Source organism: Homo sapiens, chromosome 4 (genome assembly GCF_000001405.40).
Source record: "Homo sapiens chromosome 4, GRCh38.p14 Primary Assembly".
Lineage (NCBI taxonomy): Eukaryota > Metazoa > Chordata > Mammalia > Primates > Hominidae > Homo > Homo sapiens.
In genome coordinates, this window is record NC_000004.12 from 40,331,281 (window position 1) to 40,356,553 (window position 25,273).

The following is a 25,273-nucleotide window of genomic DNA, read 5'->3' on the forward strand; positions in this document are numbered from 1 at the left end:
CCCTGGCCCTGCCATGCGTCTGCGCATGTCAAGCTCTTTTCCCTGCAGGCTTTGCCCCTTCTTCATCTGGAACGCTGTTTCCTATTGCAATTTTCATGAGCAAAGTGGATTTATGGATCTGTTTATCTATGTCAGGGGTCAACAAACTATGCCCTGCCACCTATTTTCGTAAATAAAGTTTTATTGGAACATAGCCACACATTCATTTTGCTATAGGCTGCTTTCATAGTACAATGGCAGAGAAGAGTAGTTGGTACAGAGACCATATGGCCTGCCAAGATGAAAATATTTACTATCTAGCTCTTTGCAGAGAGTTTGCCAATCTCTGTGACGGAGTTAGATTGTGTAACTCTCACAAAATGGATAAGAGGATTAAAAAGACTACTGCAGAAATAAGTAAGTAAATAAATAAATCCACGGTGGACTGACAATAATATTAACATCACAATAAAAAAGGACAACAAGAAAATAGTAGGACTGATATTCTTCCACCCACAGTACAAATTGCTTGTCACATAAAACAATTATCCTCTAACCAGGTCTGTCAAGAAGTTGGGAGAGAGATTGGGTGAGGGAGAGAGATGGAAGGGGGAGAGGAAGAGGGGAGGAAAAATAAATAAATTAAATAAATAAATATATAAATAAACAAATAGTGGCATTGAGCTACAAATGACATGCTTAGCATGTCATTTTCCCCTTTAATGATCATTTATCCAGCAATTTTATGGTCAAGCACTATTTTTAGGGTTCCACATGCATTAACTGATTCAGTCCTCAAAACAACCCCAAGAGGTAGGCACTATTTATAATTGTCCCCATTTTATAGATGAAGAAACTGAGGTCGAATAATCTGGCTGAGCTTACACAGCTAGTAAGTGGTGGGGTTGGACTTGAATCCAAGCAGTTCAACTCCAGGGTCTGTGCTCTTAAACTCTACATTATACTGCTTTTGATCAAGAATACGAAGTGGCTGGGCATGGTGACTCACCTGTAATCCCAGCACTTTGGAAGGCTGAGGCAGGTGAATCACGAGGTCAGGAGTTCAAGACCAGCCTGGCCAAGATGGTGAAACCCCATCTCTACTAAAAATACAAAAAAAAAAAAAAAAAAAAAAAAAAAAAAGCCGGGCGTGATGGCAGGTGCCTGTAATACCAGCTACTTGGGAGGCTGAGGCACAGAATTGCTTGAACCCAGGACGTGGAGGTTGCAGTGAGCTGAGATCACGCCACTGCATTCCAGCCTGGGCAACAGAGCAAGACTCAATCTCAAAAAAAAAAAAAAAAGAAGAAGAAATAGAAAACAAAGACAGAAGTAAACCCTAAAATGTTTGGAGAGTGGTGCCATGGGCAGCCCTTTTGGCATGACTTTGCGTCCTAACTACCAATCTTATCCTAAACTCTGGTGCAAGGTGAAGGAATTCATGTAGCTGTCTTTTAAAGGAGCTTTGAGGGGGTTTTTTTGTTTGTTTGTTTTGTTTGTTTGTTTTTCAAGACACATATCTAGGATAAATCCAGCAAATTTAGAAAGTAGAAGTGAAATAGGTCCTTGGGGATGGCATCCCATTGAGGTATCTCCTGCCATTTCAGTGAGTTGTGAAGCATTGGTTAGCATGCGTCATGGCTCTGAGTGCCTAGGACAGCACTCCTCTGTGAAGAGCCCAGCCTCCTGGGGAGGTTGAGGGTCTCTGGCATGGTTCTTGGTGGAGAGTCAGCATCCTTTACCCACCTTCCTGTGGGGCAGATCGAAGTCCCACCTGCCCTTGGCTGAAAGGAAGTGCATTCCCAAGCCTCCTAAAGGCACACTTGACCTTGATTTCCTCTGAGCTTCCTCACCAGATGAACTGGTGTTGTGTAAGGAGCACTGTATTGAGTCAGGACGATGGGTTATGTCCTTGCGAAGGCTTCTGACCTCTCTAGTCCTCAGTTTCTTTATCTGTAACATGAGTGACCTTAGCTAGATGGTCCTCAAAGAGCTCTTTACAGGTTAGAAGTGCTCTGATCCTGTACTTAATGAAATGGAGAAAATATTCATGCCATATTCATTTGCAGGGAAAAAATCCTTTGCAAAACATGATGTTTGACTCTTGTAATTTTTGTTTTAAAAAACACATGTAGCAGAATGAAGGTATTTGTTCTTCCCATCCCCACTCTGCTGCTGGGCAGAGGATATTTTAGCCATAGAATTCACTAGGATTCTTTGTCAGACAGGACTCTATTCTAAGGAATGGGAGCACTGCCATCATCCTCCTGGAATGGAGTCAGGGATGCCCCCCAGGACACTGGACCCCAATGGGCAAAGGTTCTCAGCAGCTTCAACCTAAAAGAGGCCCCTGAGGGGAGAAGGGACCCTGAAGGGAGGGGAGTGGTATAGGAAGGGAAGGGACACCATTCAAGGTAGGCCCTGTGTCAACTACAATTCAACCCTGTGAGTGCTGTAAGGAATCCAAGACATATGAGGTAAAGATCCTCTACACACAAGGAAGTCACCACCCAGCTGGCATCAAAAGCCATATTGATGAAAGACAACGAGAAGGAAGAGATGCATTGTTAGTGTTGCAGGGAGCACAGTGGATTGGGGCAGGTGGCCTGGATCCTGTCTCTGGCCGATCACTGCTGGAGGGAAGCCACTCTGCATCCCTGGGCCTCAGTTTCCTCATATAGAAGTGAGGCATTAAACTCAATTTCAAAATTACCTTCTGCCTCTGAGATTCTGGAGCGGATGGTTTGCTGAAGGAGGACTGAGCGTGGGCACCCGGAATTGTGTCATTTGATGAATGAGTCAGACTAGGGGCGTCAGAAAAATAATGTCTTCACAATCAACACAATGGGATAGGCAATTAAGAAACACTTTGCCGATGGCTTGAGTGTCTGTTCCACTCAGAGGATACATTCCCGAAGAGGGATGGGGTGACTCATCAGGCGGCTGTAACCTGATGAAACAGAGCTATCCAATTTCCTCGCTCCAATTCCAGGCAACCAAATTATCTTAATATGGTTTTCCAAAGCAGTTTCCCCAGGCAAGAGGAGAGACAGACATGAGTTTCCAGACTAAGCAGCAATTGAAAATTGACATTTTTTTATAGGAGTAAAATTATATCACATATGAGAAATGACTGAAACTTTATATGAAGTAGCATTCAAATGCAAAGGGTGTCATCATTAGCAATATCACCATTGGTTATTATTCTCATGCTGATTTGGTCAGCCTTTGAACCAGTTTTTCTTTTTTTTTTTCGAGCTGGTAAATCCTGGGTGACTTGGTGAGTATAGAAATTCTGGGTATGCAAAGCTGATCAAAGATGATAATTACTGATATTTAGAAAGTGCTTTCACATACAGTTATCTCAGTAGCTCTAGAGAGAGAAAATATTATTTTCCCCAGTCTGTAGTTCTGGAAGGCTCAGAGAGGTTAGGTGACTTTTACAGAATAATAGAGCTCGTCAGGGTTTGGCTGGCAGTCAAACCCAGGTGGTCAAGTCCAAATCCAACTCACAGTGTTGCTGCTTCTTAAGCGAGTGATTATCCGCCCATCCAGCACACCCCCTCACATATATACTCACAAACATTTACTATGCAAGATCCATGCCCAGTGGGACAGCTGCAGGAGGGATCAGAAGCTGAGGCAGAGAAAAAACCAAAATGCCAATATATTCTGGAGATCATAGAACCGTGTCTCTTTCCCTCTTCAAATGCTGCTAAAAGCACGTAGAGTCTTTCTGGACAGCCGTCCCATGGCTCAGTCTTTTAGGCTTCCCTTAGTCCCTGGACTCAGGCTGACTCTGCTCATGGTGGGTGTAGAAATCTCCCATTCTGCTTAGATGGAGTCTCTGGGGTGTCAGGCATACCCCTGTTGCCTGCATCTACCTCCTTTTCTGTCTGGTTGTTTCTGCTGAGGGTGGCTAGGGACCCTCAACTGAGATGGCCCCCCACAACAGCACTGTTGGACCTAACACACCCTGGGTTCCCGGCTTCTCAGCCACTGGAGCTGCCAGTCTCAAATTACCGGAGGGGAGGGAGGGCAGGCCTGGATCTCAGGATCTCGGTCCTGCATGCAATGCAAGCCTGAGCTCTCCCGCCATAAGGCTGCAGCGGTGTGGGCTCCTTGTGCCCAGATCCTTTGTATTCATAGGGGGAAGTGGAAGACCACGCTGCCTGACTGAGACTTTATTATAGAGGCTCAGGAAAAAGATGAACTGGTCCCATTCCTGCATCTCCTTTTGCTGGATCTACTTTGCTGCTTCCAGACTGAGAGGTGAGAGGCTGGTGACACGTAACCTATCTTGTCTCATCTGGGGCTATTGCTTTGGTGGGAGGTGGGGCAGGACAGGGAAGACAAAACAGATGATTCAACCGCATGGAAGTGTTCTGTGCTTCCTACTGACTCTGATCTTGGTAGGGCATGCCAGAAAAACAACTCATCCATCCACCCAAAGCTTGTCCCTCGCCAGTGTTGGGCCATCCCCCATTTTAGACCTCAGTCTTGTGTTGTTTGTCTTGAAATACACACAACACTCTGAATGTTAATCCAGATCCCTCTTGTTGAGTAGCTGCAGAGACGGCAGATGGAAAATATGCTCAGAAGTTGTTTAATGACCTTTTTGAAGATTATTCTAATGCTCTTCGTCCAGTGGAAGATACAGATAAAGTCCTGAATGTGACCCTGCAGATTACGCTCTCTCAGATTAAGGATATGGTGAGTAACACATGGTGCTGACTCTGTGGAATGATTCTTAGAGGATAAACAACCATGCTTTCTGAAGAGAATGTCTTAACTGGGAATTTGAGAGGGAATGATAGCTCCTTAAGCAAGCTGGTGGGAGAAGAGAATGTCGGGAAAAGGAAGCTTTCTACAAAACTAATTAATTTCAAGAAACGTTACCTAATCCTGGTCATTAACTGTAACAGTCTTAGATAATCTAAAGAAAGATGGGGTTACATACTGTATGCAGCCATTTATATAAAATGTCCAAAAGAGGTAAATCCGTAGAGACAGAAAACGGCATAGAGGTTGCCGGGGTCTGTGGGGAGGACGGGGAAAACGGCCAGTGAGTTCTTAATGATTACGGCGTTTCTTTGCGGGGGGAAGAAATGATCTTGAATTAGGCAGTGGTGATGGTTGCACAACGTTGTGAATATATTGGAAGCCGGTGCATTGTTCCCTTCGAAAATGATTAAAATGGTGAGTTTTAATGTGAATTTGATCTTAATTTTTTTTTTGAGACGGAGTCTTGCTGTCACCCAGGCTGGAGTGCAGTGGCATGATCTCCGCTCACTGTAAGCTCTGCCTCCTGGGTTCACACCATTCTCCTGCCTCAGCCTCCTGAGTAGCTGAGACTACAGGCACCCGCCACCACACCCGGCTAATTTTTTTTTTGTATTTTTAGTAGAGACAGGGTTTTACCGTGTTAGTCAGGATGGTCTCAATCTCCTGACCTCATGATTCGCCCGCCTCGGCCTCCCAAAGTGCTGGGATTACAGGCATGAGCCACCGCGCCCGGCCAATCTCAATTTTTTAAAAAAGGTAGTGTTTTAAGATGGCATAGCTTATTAGTGCTTATCTATGTTTAATTACACAATGTTATGAAACTTGAAAGATTTTCCTTCTGCACATTGTTATTTCCTGACTTTTGCTTTCAAGTACATCATTCATTGATCAATTTTCAGGAAATATAGGCAGTTGATCTATGCAAAGATATCAATACTAAAATATTTGTCCACTTTACATTCTGAACACTAAATCTAGGAGGAAAAAAAATATGATCTTGGCAGTCAATCAAGGGGATAGAATAAATAAAGAATAAAGCTCTCACTTTACTTATTGAAATTTGATGAGTGTTTGTGAAATTCCTATTGTGAAGAACAAGTGTCCTATCAGTGGAAAACATTTCAAGTGTCTGCTAGGTAAAGCGACATCTGGATTCATTGTGTAGGATGAAAGAAACCAAATTCTGACTGCTTATTTGTGGATCCGCCAAATCTGGCACGATGCCTATCTCACGTGGGACCGAGATCAGTACGATGGCCTAGACTCCATCAGGATCCCCAGTGACCTCGTGTGGAGGCCAGACATCGTCTTATATAACAAGTAAGTGCAGCTCAGAACTGAGGCTTTTCAGGCATGAACGTGTTGATTTCATAGAATTTAAACATAATGAAAAAGGAATGTTTAAAACATGCATGAAATTAAATATTAATCCATGTTCCTAGGACTTACTGAAATAAGAGACATAGAATCTTAGATCAGGAAATAATATGTCATAAAAGCTTAGAGCTGGAAAGAAACCATCCATCTACATGCCCCTTTTTCAGGTGGGAAAGTGGAGGCTGCATTAGTTTGCTAGGGCTAACTTTGCCATAACAGAGTAGCACAGATTAGATGACTTAACAAAAATGTGTTATCTCACAGTTCTGGAGTTGAGATGCCTGAGATGAAGGGGTTGACAGCGTGGTTTCCTCTGAGGGCTGTGAGGGAGGATCTGTACCAGGCCTCTCTTCTAGCTAATGGTGGTTTGCTGGCAGTCTTTGGTGTTCTTGGCATTATAGAAGCGTCACTCTGAGCTCTGCCTTCATCTTCACATGGCATTCTCCTGTGTGTTCCCTGTGTCCAAATTTCCCCTTTCTATAAGGACACCAGCCATATTGGATTAGATGTCCACCCTACTCCAGCGTGACTTCATCTTAACCTAACTAATTACATCTTCATGATACTATTCTCAAATCAAGTCACATTCTGAGTGTTGGGGGCTAAGACTTCAATATGTGAATTTTTCAGGGACACAATTCAACTCTTAACAGTGACACTCACCATCCAAGATCATGTATCAATAATTAATTAAACCGGAATGGGCCATCTAGAAACTGACCTGTGGATTTGGGGCTTTGTGTGGAGTGGAGGATGAACCAGTTTACGGGATACAAAGTGACGTTTTCCCGGTCTCAGAGCAAGGGGCATTGTATAACGGGTAGGTAAAGTTTATGTTTCGCAAGCTGTAAGGTGCATATGAATCGCCCAGGGAGTTTGTTAAAATACAGATTGTGATTCCATGGGTGTGGGGCGGGCCTGTGATTCTGCATTTCTACAAGCTCCGGAAGACGTGGGCACTGTGGGTCCATGGGCTGCATTTTGAGAAAAATACCAGATCTCTGGTCACAGTTCAAGCTCAGTGGCCCCGCCTGTTGTTGAAAGAGCTTCTCTCTGTTTTTATTCTGGAACCCAAGTTTCTGTGGAGTGGGAAGAGTTCCTCTGTGGCTCAGACCTATGTGAATGAGGGGCAGCTCAGGGGGCTCCCCTGGGTGGAGGCTTCCAGTGGGCATGGATTTCCTTTAAGGAAGCAGCACGGGTGGGTTGCAGCCTGGATTTTAGTCTCACTCCTTACTCAGAGAGCTCATCTAAGGGTCATGAGCTCTGGAATCATAGCCCTGTTTTTCTGTCCATTCCCAACTCTGAGTGGCCAGAGGAATCATCTGTATTCCTTCCCAAGGAATATAACAGGAAGATAACATTCAAATACTGGGCTTTATTCCTCCAGTTTACCCTCCCTCCCCGTGCTCGCTCTCTCTGTCTCTGTCTCTGTCTCTCTCTCTCTCTGTCTCTCTCTCTCCCTCTCTCTCTCACACACACACACACACAGAGCAAGAAAACAAACCACATTGTCCATTACCACACTCTCGTCTGCAGAGTGCAGGAGAGTAATATCTGATAATTTCATTGACACAGGCAGGGCGTGAGGACTAACCCCTGTAATCCCAGCACTTTGGGAGGCCAAGGCAGGTGGATCGCCTGAGGTCAGGAGTTCGAGAACAGCCTTGCTAACATGGTGAAATCCGGTCTTTATTAAAAATACAAAAAATCAGCTGGGTGTGGTGGCGGGCGCCTGTAATCCCAGCTACTTGGGAGGCTGAGGCAGGAAACTCACTTAAACCCGGGAGGCAGGGGTTGCAGTGAGCCAAGATTGCACCACTGCACTCCAGCCTGGGCGACAAGAGCGAGACTCCATCTCAAAAAAAAAAAAAAAAAAAAAAGAAAGAAAAAAGAAAAAGAAAGATAATTTCATTGACACAGATGATCTCTTACAGAATTCTGTAAGTTCTTTTTTTTTTAATTTTAAGACAGGGTCTGGGGGCCAGGCATGGTGGCTCACGCCTGTAATCCCAGCACCTTGGGAGGCCGAGGGGGGCGGATCATGAGGTCAGGAGATCGAGACCATCCTGGCTAACATGGTGAAACCCCGTCTCTACTAAAAATACAAAAAAATTAGCTGGGTATGGTGGCAGGCACCAGGAGGCTGAGGCAGGAGAATGCCGTGAACCCGGGAGGCGGAGCTTGCAGTGAGCCGAGATCGCGCTCCAGTCCAGCCTGGGTGACAGAGCTAGACTCTATCTCAAAAAAAAAAAAAAAAAAAGGCGGGGTCTCACTCCTATCGCCCACGCTAGAGTGCAGTGGTGTGATCATGGCTCACTACAGCCTCAACTTCCCGGGCTCAGGTTATTCTCCCACCTCTGCCTCCTGAGTAGCTGGGACTACAGGTGCATGCCACCATGCCTAGTTATTGTTTTTTTTAATTTTTAGTAGAGACAGAGTCTCATCATGTTGCCCAGGCTGGTTTCGAACTCCTGGGCTCAAGTGATCCACCCAGCTCAGCCTCCCAAAGTGCTGGGATTACAGGCATGAGCTGCTGTGCCCGGCCAGCATTCTGTAAGTTCTAAAAATTCTCTCCAGAAGTCAAACAGAACGGTGGTCCCCCTCTCCCTCCTGTTTTGATAGGCTGAGGTGGTGACCTTGTCTTACTGAAATGCTTCTTTGCAAGCTTACAAGGCATCCTAAGTTAAGCTGACCCCACTGCTCCCTTATTAGAGAAGCCAGTTATGTACTCATGAGTTCACACAAGCCTAGTGTGGCTTTGGCTGGTTCTGTCCACATTGTCCCTTCCCCACTCTCCACCCCTTTACACAGAGCCTTTCACCACACTGATTCATCATCTCCTTTTTGTTCCTCTGGTTGACTCTTTAGTCATCTCTGTGCTCTTGTCATGGACAATTCTGTTTCTGCTCCTCTCTTCTCTTTTGCCTTCTCCTTCTCAGTAAAACTTCTCAGAGTTTTGCTGTGTAGAGGAACCTCTAAATGGAGCTATGGTTGGATGACATCTTCATGCCTTTAACAAATTGAAATGAAAATGGAAGAGTGTTGCAGGATCAGGCAAAGAAGGGCCCTTAGTCATGGCTATTTCCCTGAGCTCAGTCCTTCTTGCTGAATCCCTGACTCTGTAGAATCTTCTGATGCCAGATACAATATCATTGCTTCTCAGAAGCAGGTACAGAACATCATAGGCAACACAATGGGCTTCCTGAGTTGTGGCAAGAAGGAGAAATAGGGTTAGGGGGTAGGTGAGTCAGTCCAGTGTGATAAAGACACTCAGGCAGGAAGATGCTTAGCATCTAGAGTCACCATTGGTGCCCAAATCCATGGGGCTAGACTGGTTAGGGAGTGATCAGGAAGGAGATGGGCCTGGATGCCACTTCACAGAACAGTTGAATTTGCTGATGCTTAGTTTGGAAGAGAGAAGACCTTGAAGACTTGATGATGGTTACCTTAGGTAATCAGAGAGAAAGTAAGGTAGAAAAAAGAGAACAAACAACGTTCCAGAAGACAAAACCCGAGATAATCAGTAGAAGCCAAAGGGAAGATAAGCTCTCCAAAAAAAAAAAAAAAAAAAAGAACATTTCCCTAATAACTTCGGCAATGAATTGTCCCAAGAAATAGTGAGCTTTTTAGCAATGTAACAGTTCAAGTAGATACTGGCTCTTTCAGTAAATCAGTAGAGAAATAAATGAATTGGGGCTCAAAGTTCTGGCAGGAATGTTTAGTATTAGTATATGGTTAGTATAGTGGCTGGTATAAGAGGCTACAAGGATTCCTGACATTTTTAGATTAGGTAAAATGCAGATTACAGAAATTTTAAATTTGAATTCATTATGGCAGGGTTTTCATGGTCAGGTTTTTTTTTTTGTTTTTTGGCGGGGGTGGTGGCGGTAGTTTGCTCTGTCACCTAGGCTAGAGTGCCCTGGTGTGATCGTAGCTTACTGCAGCCTTGACCTCCTGGACTCAAGTTGAGAGAGTATTCTCCTCAGTAGGGTCTGGAGACAGGGAGCCTTCACTTCAGCTTCCAACTCGTCACAGACCAAGTCTTCATTGCATGAGGTGTAACTTCACTTCAGCCTCTGATTGGTTGTAGGTCACATCTTCATTTGCATAGGGTATAACTTCACTTCAGCCTCCAATTGGTTGTGGGCCAAGTTTTTATTTACATAGGGCGCAACCAATGGGAAACGTCTAGAGGGTACTTAAACCCCAGAAGATTTTGTAACTGGTGGTCTTAAGCTGCCTACTCGAGCCCATACCCACTCTGTGGAGTGTGGTTTCGTTTCAATAAATCTGAGCATTTATTGTTTCTTTCATTGTTCTGTACTTTCATTGCTTTATTTGTGCATTTTGTCCAATTCTTTGTTCAAAATGTCAAGAACGTGGACGACCTGTAGTCAAGACCCTCCATGTGTAACAAAGTGATCCTCTCACTTCAGTCTCCTGAGTAGCTGGGACTACAGGTATGCACTACCACACCCAGCTAATTTTTACAAACCTTTTTATAGAGATGAGGTCTCACTATATTGCCTGTTGCCTAGGCTGGTCTTGAATTCCTGGGCTCAAGCAATCCTCCTGCCTTGGCCTTCTAAAGTGCTGGGATTACAGGCATGAGCCACCATGCCTGGCCCCAGTGGTTGGATTTTAATGAGCAGTTTTAATGGTTGGATTTTAGACCTGGTGAGGAACTGGGTGCCCTATTGTATTCAAAAGAATTTGTCTAGAATTTAGCTTTAAGGCCAGCTTATGTATCTATCTTTAGCCATATAAGATGATTTAGAGAATGGCAAGACTTCCAGAAGAGACTGGAAATAAAGGAGGGCGAGGAGAAACAGGTTTGGAAAAAAAGAGGATGAATTTGATGTTCAGTTTGGGGAACCAAAGAAACATCCTCATGGAAATGTCCAATAGTGAGATTGCAAAGGCAAATCTGAAACCTGGAGAAACAGATAGGGCTAATAGAGATGCCAAAAGCCCTTAAAGTCCTATAGAACTACTCATGGAAGGAAAGAAAATGGCTGAGAATAAAGTTGAAAAAACCTCTACATTTAAGGAATTTACAGAGGAAACTTAGAATTAGTAGTTAAAGAGATAGAAGGAGAAGCAAGAGAGTCATGTCATGAAAACCAAGGGAAGAGAGGATGTCTAGGAATAAGCCATAATCCCAATGTTTGGGAAGAGTTGAAGAAGATGAAGACTTAGGAGAAGTCTTGAGATTTGCCTAGTTGTACTTGTCGGAAAGACATCAAAAAGCAGGAGTCAGGAAATAAAAGCAAGAGGAAACGGGACAATAGCAGGTATCAGTTACTTTTGAAAGCAGTGTGTGGAAGGAGATGAGAGAGGTAGAAGGGCCAGGGAGAAAAGGAGTTTGGCAGGAGAGACTTGCGAACAGAGTTGGAAAGTGGCTAGAGGGGCCAGAGAGAAGAAGAGGGACCAAGGGAGGCAAAATCCTGAAGGAGGCATGGGAGGAGAGGACTCACACGACCAGAAGGGAAGTTAGCCAGGAAGAGAGAGGGGGGAACTTCTTTTTGATATGGAAAGGAAGGAAAAGTGAATATGTGAAAGAGACATTGGAGATGGAACGAGGAAGGGATCCTGGGACTGAGTAAACAGACAAGTCTACGCTGAGGTTCCAGGCACTCTGGGGACTGAAAACACTGGGCGACTCTCCCTGCTCCCTCATTTACCAGCCTGCTCCTCTCCAGTTCCCAGGAATGGGCTTCTTACAGCCAAGGCTGGGAAAGTCATTTTCGCTCAATTGCAAAACAACTAAAGTTAGCTCAGTCTTTGATCAGATACAGAAGAGGAGAGGGGGCTGCCTGTATTGGTCTGTTTTCATGTTGCTAATAAAGACATACCCAAGACTGGGTAATTTATAAAGGAATGAGGTTTAATGGACTCACAGTTCACATGGCTGGGGAGGCCTCACAATCATGGCTGAAGGCAAATGAGGAGCAAAGTCACATCTTACATGGTGGCAGGCAAGAGAGAATGTGCAGGGGAACTCCCCTTTATAAAACCATCAGATCTCATGAGATTTATTCACTATCACAAGATCAGCACAGAAAAAACCCGCCCCCATGATTCAATTACCTCCCACCACGTCCCTCCTGCAACATGTGGGAATTATGTGAGCTACACTTCGAGATGAGATTTGGGTGGGGACACAGCCAAACCATATCACTGCCTGAAGGCCACTGAGTGGCTGAGGAAAGGGAAGGTAAGAGGAAAGCAATTTAAATATTCCGTGAGGGTTATATTATTAAACATGCCTTCCCAACCTCCGGCTTACATTTTGTCCCTGTAATTTTTTCATGTTTTAGTTGAGAACAAGAAAACACAGTTAGAAACAGAGGGAAGGGGAAGAAATTAATACATATTGGCCACTTACTATGTGTCTGCATGGAGCTGGGGCTTTACAAAGTGTGATAGATAGAATAATGCCCCCCTTAAAGATGTCCACATCCTAATCCCCAAGACCTGTGAAGATTTATCTTACATGGCAAAAGAGACTTTGCAGGTATGATTGAATTAAAGATTTGAGATGGGGGAGATTATCCTGGTGGGCCTAATGTAAACACAGGGGTCCTTGTAAGAGGGAGATGAGATGGCCAGAATAGGCGATACCACAAAGGAAGCAGAGGTTAGTGATGCAAAGAAGGGGCCCTGAGTCATGGGATGCAGGTGGCTTCTAGAAGGTGGAAAAGGAAAGGCAACAGATCTTCCCCTGGAGTCTCCAGAAGGAATGCAGCCCTGCTCACATTGGTTTTAGGATTTCTGACCTCTAGAATTGTTAAGACACTAAATTTATGTTGTTTTAAGACATTAGGGGCTGGGCACGGTGGCTCGTGCCTGTAATCCCAGCACTTTGGGAGGTTGAGGTGGGTGGATCACTTGAGGTCAGGAGTTTGAGACCAGCCTGGCCAACATGGCAAGATTCCCGTCTCTACTAAAAATACAAAAAAATTAGCCAGATATGGTGGTGGGAGCCTGTAATCCCAGCTACTCGGGAGGCTGAAGCAGGAGAATTGCTTGAATCCAGGAGACGGAGGTTTCAGTGAGCCAAGATGGCACCACTGCACCCCAGCCTGGGCAGCAGAGTGAAATGCCATCTCAAGAAAAAAAAAAAAAGACATTAGATTTAGGTTTTTGGTAGTTTGCTACAGCAGCAATAGAAATTAATATATATAGTTTGTTTAATATAAAAAGAAGCCTTAAGGTATTATAATGCCCATTTTTACAGGTGAGTGACAGAGATATAACCCACCTAAGGTTATGAAACTTGAATCAGGTTCTGAACTCAAATCTCCATGATATTTTTATGAGAAGTAAATAAGAATTTTAAGACCCAGTCTCTGACCTCAAGGAACAATCTAATAAGCTATATATGTAAAAACTATAGTGCAAGGTAAAAATGCAAGTCCCTTATAACACAGAAGTGAAGTGCTGTGGCCCTTTAAGGATGGAAAGATATCTGACTGGAGAGGCAGGGAAGGCTTCACAGAGGTCGCCTCTGAGCAGAGTCTTGAAGGATGTGTTATACTGCTACATGCAGAAAAGGGGGACTATTATGAGTTGAAGAAAGAGTTTGAGTAAGAGAAACTCACAGGGTTTGTTGGGATTTCAGCCTTGATTGGTGGAGTGGGAGTGAAGGAGACCAGCAGAAGGCACACAGCTAGAAAGTGAGGTGGGAATAGATCATGGAATATCTAGAACACTAAACTGCGGAGGTGCAGAAGTATTGTTTGGGCTATAGGAAGCCACTGCAAGTTTTGAGCTGTGTTATGATCAAAAATCTAGGGAGATAAACAATAAGATATTGGTCATGAAGTGATTAAATAATAATGTCTTGGCTGGGCGCGGTGGCTTGTACTGGTAATCCCAGCACTTTGGGAAGCCAAGGTAGGAGGATCGTATGAGGCCAGGAGCTCAAGATCAGCCTTGGCAACATAGTGAGGCATGGTCTCTACAAAAAAAATATATTTTTAATATAATGTATTTAAATTACTCAAGGCCGGCGTGGTGGCTCACACCTGTGATCCCAGAACTTTGGGAGACCCAGGCAGGCAGATTACCTGAGGTCAGGAGTTTGAGATCAGCCTGGTAAAAATGGTGAAACACTGTTTCTACTAAAAATACAAAAATTAGTTGGGCGTGGTGGTGCGTGCCTATAATTCCAGCACCTCGGGAGTCTGGGGCAGGAGAATTGCTTAAACCTGAGAGGCGGAGGTTGCAGTGAACCAAGATTGTGCCACTGCACTAAAGCCTGGGCAACAGGGTGATACTCCATCTCAAAAAACAAACAAACAAACAAACAAACAAATGGCTGGGCACGGTGGCTCACACCTGTAATCCCAGCACTCTGGGAGGCTGAGGCGGGTGGATCACCTGAGGTCAGGAGTTCAAGACCAGCTTGGCCAACATGGCAAAACCCTGTCTCTACTAAAAGTACAAAAATTAGCCAGGCATGGTGGCTGGCACCTGTAATCCCAGCTACTCAGGAGGCTAAGGCAGGAGAATTGCTTGAACCCAGGAGGCAGAGGTTGCAGTTAACTGACATGGCGCCACTGTACTCCAGCCTGGGTGACAAGAGTGAGACTCCGTCTCAAACAAACAACAACAACAACAACAACAAAAACCCACAACCTACTCCAAAGCAGCTGGGGTGATGTTTTTGGTCAGCAGGTTCCCTTGCCCTTTGGCTTGGGGTTGGGTTTGGCCAATGTGGAGCACCAGTGGGCAATTGCAGGGAAAAGAGAGAGTGAGGTTAGCATGTGTATTCCCTCGCTGTCTTCCTGGGAGGTTATCTTCGGCTGGATGTGTGCCCTGAAAGAAAGTCATCACTCCTATCATGGTGACCTACTTCATGCAAATCTTTCCTTCCAGGTTCTGGTAACTGCACTTTCTCCTCACCTCTTCATGTCCAGGAATGGTTTCTCTGCATTGTTTCCATATCTTTATGAACAGTCCCTTTCTTAAACTCTCCTCAGGTTATCTAATTGGAGTAGGCCATCTATTTCCTACAGGGATCATGCCCAGTGCAAATGTCCTAGCCCCAAACAGATTCTCTCTGATCCCCAGATCTCTCTTGCACCAAGGAAGTAGGATGGGTGAGCAGTGTTCTCAGTTCACGTCTAATTCTCACTTCTCAGATAGCTAACTGTACACATTTCTCACGGTTACAGGAGGAAGCTTCAGGCATTTTCAAAAAATTCATTTTGTTATCTTCGCGAACACTCACATTAAAGATCCTCTTGGGTATGGAGTGAACTCAGTCAGACCATTAAAGTTAATATTGTGGCACCCATTTCTAATGAGTGGAAACAATAAAAACCTTAAAAACATGCCTGTTCTTTAAAAAATATATATAGACATATATTATTTTATTTTATTTTTTTGTTGTTGTTGTTGAGATGGAGTCTCACTCTGTCACCCAGGCTGGAGTGCAGTGGTGTGATCTCAACTCACTACAACCTCTGCCTCCTGAGTTCAAGTGATTCTCTTGCCTCAGCCTCCCGAGTAGCTGGGACTACAGGTGCGCGCCACCACGCCTGGCTAATTTTTGTATTTTTTTAGTAGAGATGGGGTTTTGCCATGTCAGTCAGGCAGGTCTCGGACTCCTGGCCTCAAGTGATCTACCCACCTCGGCCTCCCAAAGTGCTGGGATTACAGGTGTGAGCCACCACACCCAGCCAATATATTTTTTATTTTAATAGCTTTTGAGGTACAAGTCTTTTTTAGTTACATGGATGAATTGTATAGTGGTGAAATCTGAGATTGTAGTGTGCTTGTCACCGAGTAGTGTACACTGTGCCCAATATGTAGTTTTTTTATCCCTTACCTCCCTTCAAAAACATGCCTGTTCTGACCCAGCACATCCTTTTTCAGCAATTTAACTTAAGGAAAGGGTCAGTGGATAAATGTAAAGACTCAGCTACAGAGATGTCCACTGCAGCATTGCTTATAAATACAAAAACTGGAACCAACCATAATGTGAAGCCTCAGTAGATTGGTTAAATAACTATGGTGTATCTAATATAATGGACTATAATAGAATGCTATTTAGACATGAAAAGAATGTTGTAGAAGAGTATGAACAAATGACCACGTATTTTTAAAAATTTTGTCTCATCTTTTTTTTCCCTTTTATTTTTTTGCAAGTTAACTTTAAATTTGGGGATAATTTTTAGATTTATAGAAAAGTTGCAAAGATAGTGCAGAATTCCCTTATACCCTTCACCCAGTTTCCCCTAATGTTACCTCTTACGTAACCATAATATACTTACCAAAATTAATACAATGTTATTGACTAAACTACTTTATTAAGATTTCACCAGCTTTTCCATGAATGTACTTTTTCTGTTCCAGGATCCAATCCAGAATACCACATTATATTTAGCCAAAATATACTTTTCGGGGAAAAACTTGTAAGGAAGACTTCAAAAATATGCATCCAAATGTTAACAGAAATGTACCAATTAAGGCTCTTTGGTTGTAAGCATCAGAAACTGACTTTGGCAACCTTGTGAAATAGGAATTTGTTAGAAGGATGTGGCACATCTCATTGAATTAAAGGAAAAAGTAAACAACCAGCTCTTGGAAAGGACAGAACCAAGGCTGCTCTAGTGTTCAAGGCAGGAGGGACTGTCTGTTTTTTTTCAGCCATCACTAGGGTGATGCTTTTGGTCTCTGGATCACTCTGCTTAAGATCTAAACTCTGGAGAGGGTGAATCTGTTGGACCAAGCCTGGGCCACCCAGCCGGCCTTTGGCCAGGGACACTGGGGCACCTTGACCAACACTTCCTCTGCCTTGCAATGGGAGAGGAAGTAATGGGAGAAGGAGGAAGTAACGGGAGAAAGAGTAATTCCCTAGAGAAAAATAGAAATTCTGTACCCCAAAATACAAGGCATAAATATTGATAAAGCAAAAGAAGATATATCTGGAATAAGTGACTATCTCTAAAGTTATGGGTGAACAACTTTTTTTCTCTGAGTTTTCCAAATGTTACAAATAAACATGTACAACTTTTATAATAGCAATAAAGTTATTGCTTAAAGGCATGACCCCAGGCCTTTATTTTTAGAATATATTATTTTAATATTCTAGTGCCTAAAGTTAACAAATCAAGTAAGCAGATTTTAGTATCGACAGGCTTACTTTTTGTCTGCGTGTTCAAATCATTACACCTGGACCAAGAAAGTGACACTGGGAATGGACAGGAAGGGACAGAGAGAAGAGATGCTTTAAAGGAAGAATCCAAGAGAACTTGGCCCTGACTAGTTACAGGAGATGGAGGAGAAGGACAAATTAGAGTTGATTCCAGACTTCCGAGCCACAGTGACAGGCAAAATGGTGGTCCATTGCCAAAACACTGAAGTGATGGGGACAGTGAGCTGTCTGGGGTAAGGAAGGTGGCAAGTTCTCCTAGCATGCGGCTTTCATTTTCCTTATCTGACCTTCAGGGCTGATGATGAATCTTCAGAGCCTGTGAACACCAATGTGGTCCTGCGGTATGATGGGCTGATCACCTGGGATGCACCGGCCATCACCAAAAGCTCCTGTGTGGTGGATGTCACCTACTTCCCTTTTGACAACCAGCAGTGCAACCTGACTTTTGGTTCCTGGACCTACAATGGCAATCAGGTGGACATATTCAACGCCTTGGACAGCGGAGATCTCTCTGACTTCATTGAAGATGTGGAATGGGAGGTCCATGGCATGCCCGCTGTGAAGAATGTGATCTCCTATGGCTGCTGCTCTGAGCCTTACCCGGATGTCACATTCACCCTCCTTCTGAAGAGGAGGTCCTCGTTCTATATCGTCAACCTCCTCATCCCATGCGTCCTCATATCTTTTCTGGCTCCTCTGAGTTTTTATCTCCCAGCAGCCTCCGGAGAAAAGGTCTCCCTGGGAGTGACCATCCTGTTGGCCATGACTGTATTTCAGCTAATGGTGGCAGAAATCATGCCGGCCTCAGAAAATGTGCCCCTGATAGGTGAGTCCAAGTGTCTTCCACTTCAAGCCCAGCTTTGTAGTGCCTGGGGTCATGCCTTTAAGGTTGTGTGTGTGCCTTTAAACTTGAAAAAATGGAGCCAATTTCGACTCAATACAGACTGTCTCAAATTTTTCTGGTGGTTGCAGTTAGCATCTTTCAATATAGATGAGCCTTTTGCAATCAAAACTGGTCTTATGGTCTCTGGGTTTACACGAAAGAGCAATGAAAGACATTATACTTTAGAGCAGTAGTTCTCAAAGTGGTGGTCCCCAGATGCACAGCATCGGCATCCCCTGGGAACTTATAGAAACACAAAACCTCAGGGCCCACCGGAAGCCTACTGAATCAGACATTCTGGAGATAAGGCCCTGGCATCCTGTTTTAACAAGGCTTATGGGTGATTCTGATGCATTTTCTGTTGAAGTCTGAAATCCACTGACCCAGAGGTTAAGACCTGATTTTGAAGTCAAAGAAACTTGCATTTGAACGCTGACTTCACTGCTCACTCCTTGATCAAACAGGCAAGTTACTTGTTCTCTTAGTCTCTGCTTCATCATCTGGAAAATTTGTGTGATTGCTTCCTTCTGTGTCATTGCTTAGTGCACACCCTGGCATATGGTAAGTACTGAGTAAACAGTGACTACTGTTATCATTTCACGTGACAAGGGCTTTCTTCTTGGGAAGAGTGGCAAACATGGCAGAAAGATGTGCTTTTTAAGCCTGACATCTACCCTTAACAGAAAAATCTCATCTTCACTGGGTATAATAGCAGTGGGAGAGTGTATTAAAATGCAAGTTCCTACACCCAGAGAGTTTGATTTAGCAACTTGGCCGAGATTTGGGAATCTGAGGTGATTCCAAAGCAGACTACATTTTCAAAAATCTGCAATAATGAAATATCCCTCCAAGGGTTGGAGTGCAGACTGAGGGTACCACCCCTGCCTCCCCTATCCTTGCCTAGCTTGTTCTGAGGGCTTTCCTATCCCCTTTAACATCTACTTTCTGCCTCCAAGGATACCCTTGAGATCCAACACCTCCATCTCGAGGAGTTGCTGTTGTAACAGATGCTTACCAGAATCAAGCTAGATCTAAGTTTGAGTTCCTTAAAGTAAGCAACAAGGAGAAATTTTAGAACACCAACGAACTTAGAGTCCAATATCAGGAGATGTTGCCTTGCCCTTTTACTCTTTACTGAGTCCAGTTACCCAATATTGAGATGATACTACAGTGGCTTCTCCATTTGGAGATATCTTCCTTTTTATGTCTCTCTTTGCAAAATACACACACACACACACACACACACACACACACACCTCTCTTTTTCAGAATTAAACACAGAAGGCTTTTCCACCTCTAATAAAAAGGAGATGTATTGGCATTTTATTACCTCTCCTGAGGCAGAAATGATTGGCAGTGATGACATCCAATCATAGCCCTGTTTGAGGAAAGATCATGGGGCGGTCCCACTCTCTTCTTGGGTAGTGACATTATACAGCAAGCTGGCACAATTTCTAAAGGCAGATGTCTCACAGGAATTGCTTGTTCTGTTTTTATGATAATATGAAATTTATCTTTTAAAAATTAAATTAAATTTGTATTTTTAAATTTTATTTTAATTTATTTTTATTATTTAAAAATGAAGGCCGGGCTTGGTAGCTCACGCCTGTAATCCTAGCACTTTGGGAGGCTGAGGCAGGCAGATCACCTGAGGTCAGGAGTTCAAGACCAGCCTGGCCAACATGGTGAGACCCCATCTCTATAAAAAGAATTAGCTGGGCATGGTGGTGCGTGCCTGTAATCCCAGCTACTTGGGAGGCTGAGACAGGAGAATCACTTGAACCCAGGAAGTGAAGGTTGCAGTGAGCCAAGATTGCACCACTGCACTCCAACCTGGGGGACAGTGTGAGACTTCGTCTCAAAAAAAAAAAATTGAAAAAAAATAAGAAAGATAGGGTCTCACTATGTTGGCTAGGCTGGTCTTGAACTCCTGGGCTCAAGTGATCCTCCCACCTCAGCCTCCCAAAGTGCTGGGATTACAGGTGTGAGCCACCGCAACTGGCTGAAATTTATCTTTTTAGGAAAAGTGCCCACAGATCTCTTGAGAACATTTATTTAACAATTAAAATTTGTTATTCATAGCACCCATGGAGTGTGCTCACAATATTATAGAAATATGTTTAAGTTTTCTGCATCAAATGTAGCCCTTGATATCGGTTTCTGGCCCATGGCCTTTACCATTTTAAGAAAGGTCTCATATATTAACTCAGACAAATAAAAAAGATGATAAACATTATCAAATACTTTGTCTTCATCTATTAAGATAATCATGTGAGTTTTCTTTTACTCGTCAATGTCGTGAATTACATCAATAAGTTTTCTGATGTTGAACTCTTTTGTATAACTGGACCAAACTCCTTTCTTATGATACATTATCCTTTTAAGACACTGTTGGATTCAGTTAGCTAATATTTTGTAGAGCTTTCTCAAATATGTCGATTAGTGAAATGGCTTTAATATTTCTTTTCTTGTCACTTTTGGAATCAAGGTCAAATTGACTTCACAAAATGAACTGGACAGTTTTCCCTCTTTTTCTATTTCTGGAACAAGTTGCATAAGATGGGAACTATTTGTTTCTTGAAAGTTTGGTAAAACTCACCTATAAATTATTTTTGGGCCTGGAACATTTGGTAGGGGGATGGTATTTGATTGATTCCCATTTCTATTAAAGTGTTCTTTATTCTTGCACTAATTTTGACATCTAACATTTTTCCAGCAGTTTCATCTAGATTATCAAATATGTTATTATACAGCTATTTTTATTTTTTAAGACATAGTCTAGCTCTGTTGCCCAGACTGGAGTGCAGTGGTGTAATCTCAGCTCACTGCAACCTCCGACTCCTGGATTCAAGTGATTCTCCTGCCTCAGCCTCCTGAGTAGCTGGGATTACAGGCACGTGCCAATACACCCAGCTAATGTTTTTTATATTTTTAGTAGAGACGGGGTTTCACCATGTTGGCCAGGCTGGTCTCCAACTCCTGACCTCAAGTGATCCACCCACCTCGGCCTCCCAAAGTGCTGGGATTACAGGTGTGAGCCACCGTGCCCGACTATACAGTTATTTATAATATTGTACTATTTTATAAGTCTTTTCCATCTTCTCTCTCTCTCTTTCCCTTTCTCTATTTCTCTCTCTATCCTGTAAGTGGTCTTATCAAAAGTTTATCAATTTTATTACTCTTTTCAAAAGTTTGCTTTTGGTTTTATTCATCTTCTTGGCTTTTTGTTCTATATTTCATAAATTTGTAGCCTTATCTTAATTGTTTCCTTCCTTAATTTCACTTTTTCATCAACATGTGCTTTATATAATCACATTTTGAAGACTAATAGTGATACAGTCTCCTTTCTTACCTAATAGAATTGGCTTTCATATTAATGAGGTCTGAAGACAATTCTGAGAACTGGTCAAGTTCATTAATTGTTTGTTCGTTGAGTGTGGAAAAATTTTTCACCTCATGATCTCAGCAAACATTTCCAAACTTTTTAATTTCGAGCCAGGAACAGTGCTGAGAACTTCACATGTATCATCTCAATTACGCCTCCTCATATTCCTGCGAGTTAGATATTATTATTACACCCACCACTTTACAGAGTAGGAAACTGAGGCTTAGCAGGATTATATGCCTTGCTGAAGGCCGAAAGTCCAGGATTATATGCCTTGCTGAAGGCTGAAAGTCTAGGGAGTGATAAAGCTGGGATTTGAATCCAGGAAGTCAGATTCAAAAGTCTATACTATAGCCCGGCGCGGTGGCTCACGCCTGTAATTCTAGCATTTTGAGAGGCCGGGGTAGGCAGATCTCTCAAGTTCAGGAGTTCGAGACCAGCCTGGCCAAGATGGCGAAACCCCCTCTCTACTAAAAATACAAAAATTAGCCGGGCGTAGTGGTGGGCGCCTGTAATCCCAGCTACTTGGGAGGCTGAGGCAGGAGAATCACTTGAACCTGGGAGCCAGAGGTTGCAGTGAGCTGAGATTGCACCACTGCACTCCAGTGTGGGTGACAGAGCGAGACTCTGTCTCAAAAAAAAAAAAAAAGTCTATACTATTAACCACTAGGGTATAACACCTCCTTAGAAAGGGTGTTTGTTTCTTTTTAAGCCAAACACAGTCATGTGCCTCATAACAATGTTTTGGTAAATGACAGACCGTGTATACAACAATGGTCCCATAAGATTATAATGTCAATTTTTACTTTATCTTTTCTATGTTTAGATACACAAATATTGACCGTTTGATAATCATGTGTACAATTGCCTGCGGTATTCAATACAGTAACATGCTGCACAGGTTTGTAGCCTAGAAGCAACAGGCTACACCATTCAACCTAGGTGTATAGAAGGCTAGACCATTTAGGTTTGTGTACATACACTCTTATGATGTTCACACAACAGCAAAATCACCTAATGACTAATACCTTTCTCAGAATGTATCCCTGTTGTTAAGTGACTCGTGGCTGTATGAGGACCATTTTAAAGCAAATTCAGTTACGGTTGTTATTTTAATTCCAGGTAAATACTACATAGCCACGATGGCCCTGATCACAGCCTCCACTGCGTTGACCATCATGGTGATGAATATCCACTTCTGTGGGGCCGAGGCCCGGCCGGTGCCACACTGGGCCAGGGTGGTCATCCTGAAATACATGTCCAGGGTCTTGTTTGTCTATGATGTGGGTGAAAGCTGCCTCAGCCCGCACCACAGTAGAGAGCGGGACCACCTCACGAAAGTTTATAGCAAACTCCCAGAGTCTAACCTGAAAGCAGCCAGGAACAAAGACCTTTCCAGAAAGAAGGACATGAACAAACGCTTAAAGAACGACCTGGGCTGCCAGGGTAAGAACCCTCAGGAGGCCGAGAGTTACTGTGCACAGTACAAAGTGCTGACGAGGAATATTGAGTACATCGCCAAGTGCCTCAAAGACCACAAGGCCACCAATTCCAAGGGGAGTGAATGGAAGAAGGTGGCGAAAGTCATAGACCGATTCTTCATGTGGATTTTTTTCATTATGGTGTTTGTGATGACTATTTTGATCATAGCAAGAGCGGATTAGTCACAGATATTGGCTTTGCTATCTGGGTAGAAATTAATACAATTCCCTGTGATCTATTCCAATGTTCTTCCAAGATTTTTGTTCATCTATAATTTAGGGGTTATGTTGTCTGTGCTTTTTATTTTTAGCTTCAAATGAATGTCGAAGCTATCTGCTCTGTTAAATTAAGCAGAAGAACCAAAATTTCAAGGGTAGGAAGATGGAAGAAATAGGGAAAGAGCCCTTTTATAGCCCACCGTAGTGGTGGGTGACTGGCCTCTAGTTTATATAATTATTTACCTCTTTGGCAGTACAGATAACAAAATACACTTTACTGGTAAAATTTAAAACAAAAAAGGCAAAACAAAACAAACTCATTTTCCCCTTAGTTCCCATTAAAATATGCATTTGAAAAATGAAATAGTCATATATATATTAGTGTGATTTAAGTCTCAATGGTACCTTATTCAGGCATAGTGCATTTGAAGTCATATCTCAAATAGTGGAATAAAAGGTTTTGTCCCATGTAAAGAAAGTCTAAGCATCAGCTGTTTAATGGGGAAAAGAACTTTCTTCATAATGGTGATGTCGTATATGTTGGTTATGTTTTATATAAACCCAAAAGATGAAGTCATTCCTGCATTTACCCTTTGATTAAAATATGATAGATGAAGCTGTTCCTGCATTTAGTCTTGTATTAAAATAAGGTGATTAGCAAGCTGGGCTCATCCATTCATTCATTGAACTTTTCACCAAACATGGATCACGTTTTTTCCTGCATGTAATAAAAGCAATATGATTCACATTTGCATGGGGTGTCACAGCAATTCTTATGCACAAGCCTGATCACTTTGATCCTCACAACAACTCTGTGAGTTGGGAAGGCGAGCGTTACTATTCTTTCTCAGAGAAAGAAACCGTGGCTTAAAAGGAGGATGTAAGTGACCTGCCTCCTCAACATCCAACACGGTGTAAGTGGAACTGGGACTCACCCCTCAGCACTGGGACTCAGAGTTGGGCTACATCTGCTAAAGTCACCCTGCTTTTGGCCATGACAAATTATGATTTAGCACAGGAGAGACTGAGAGATTCTTATTCTTAATTCTGAACTTTCTGCCCTAATTTACTTCCTGTATGTCTCAACTTCTTTCCTACTTTCAATAAAATGTGACTTCAAATTCACCCCCCATTCCCACCTAGATTAAAATGATCCAAGGCTGGGTGCAGTGGCTTACATCTATAATCCTGTTTTTTTGTTTTGTTTGTTTGTTTGAGAGGGAGTCTCACTCTGTCACCCAGGCTGGAGTGCAGTGGCACGATCTTGGCTCACTGCAATCTCTGCCTCCCAGGTTTAAGCAATTATCTTGCTTCAGCCTCCCTAGTAGCTGGGACTACAGGCGTGTGCCACCACACCCGGCTAATTTTTTTGGTATTTTTTGTAGAGACGGGGTTTTGCCATGTTGGCCAGGCTGGTATGGAACTCCCGGCCTCAAGCGATCTGCCCACCTTGGCCTCCCAAAGTGCTGGGATTACAGGCATGACACCGTGCCCAGCCCTATAGTCTCAATATTTTGGGAGACTGAGGTGGAAGATTGCCTGAGCCCAGGAGTTCCAGAGCAGCCTGGGCAACATGCAGAGAACCTGTCTCTACAAAAAAGTTAAAAATTAGCCGGGCATGGTGACAGACAACTGTGGTCCCAGCTACTTGGGAGGCTGAGGTGGGAGGATCACTTGAACCCCAGGAGACTGAGGCTGCAGTGAGCTGTGATTGCACCACTACACTAGCCTAGGTGACAGTGTGAAACATTCCCTAACTGCCAACTCATTAACTATTCTTTTTCCAGTTAAACAGAGGTGGAGAGAAAACAGGAGTCAACCTAGGAAGGGGAGGATGATGTTTGGTTTAAACATATAGACATTGCTTTTTGTTTGTTTGTTTTTGTTGTTTTTTTTTTTTAGACGGAGTTTCACTCTGTCACCCAGGCTGGAGTTCAGTGGCCTGATCTTGGCTCACTGCAACCTCCGCTTCCTGGTTTCAAGTGATTCTCCTGCTT

At 43.4% G+C, this 25,273-nt stretch overlaps 1 protein-coding gene across 1 annotated transcript; it reads left to right on the plus strand.

Moving 5' to 3' along the window:
• Positions 1 to 4,052: 4,052 nt before the first annotated feature.
• On the plus strand, positions 4,053 to 23,937 carry CHRNA9 (cholinergic receptor nicotinic alpha 9 subunit). Its single transcript, NM_017581.4, has 5 exons — positions 4,053 to 4,251; positions 4,547 to 4,692; positions 5,930 to 6,084; positions 17,602 to 18,134; positions 22,699 to 23,937. Exons 1-5 carry the CDS (start codon positions 4,188 to 4,190, stop codon positions 23,238 to 23,240), a joined length of 1,440 nt encoding a protein of 479 aa, NP_060051.2. The 5' UTR covers positions 4,053 to 4,187; the 3' UTR covers positions 23,241 to 23,937.
• The last annotated feature ends 1,336 nt before the right edge of the window (positions 23,938 to 25,273 follow it).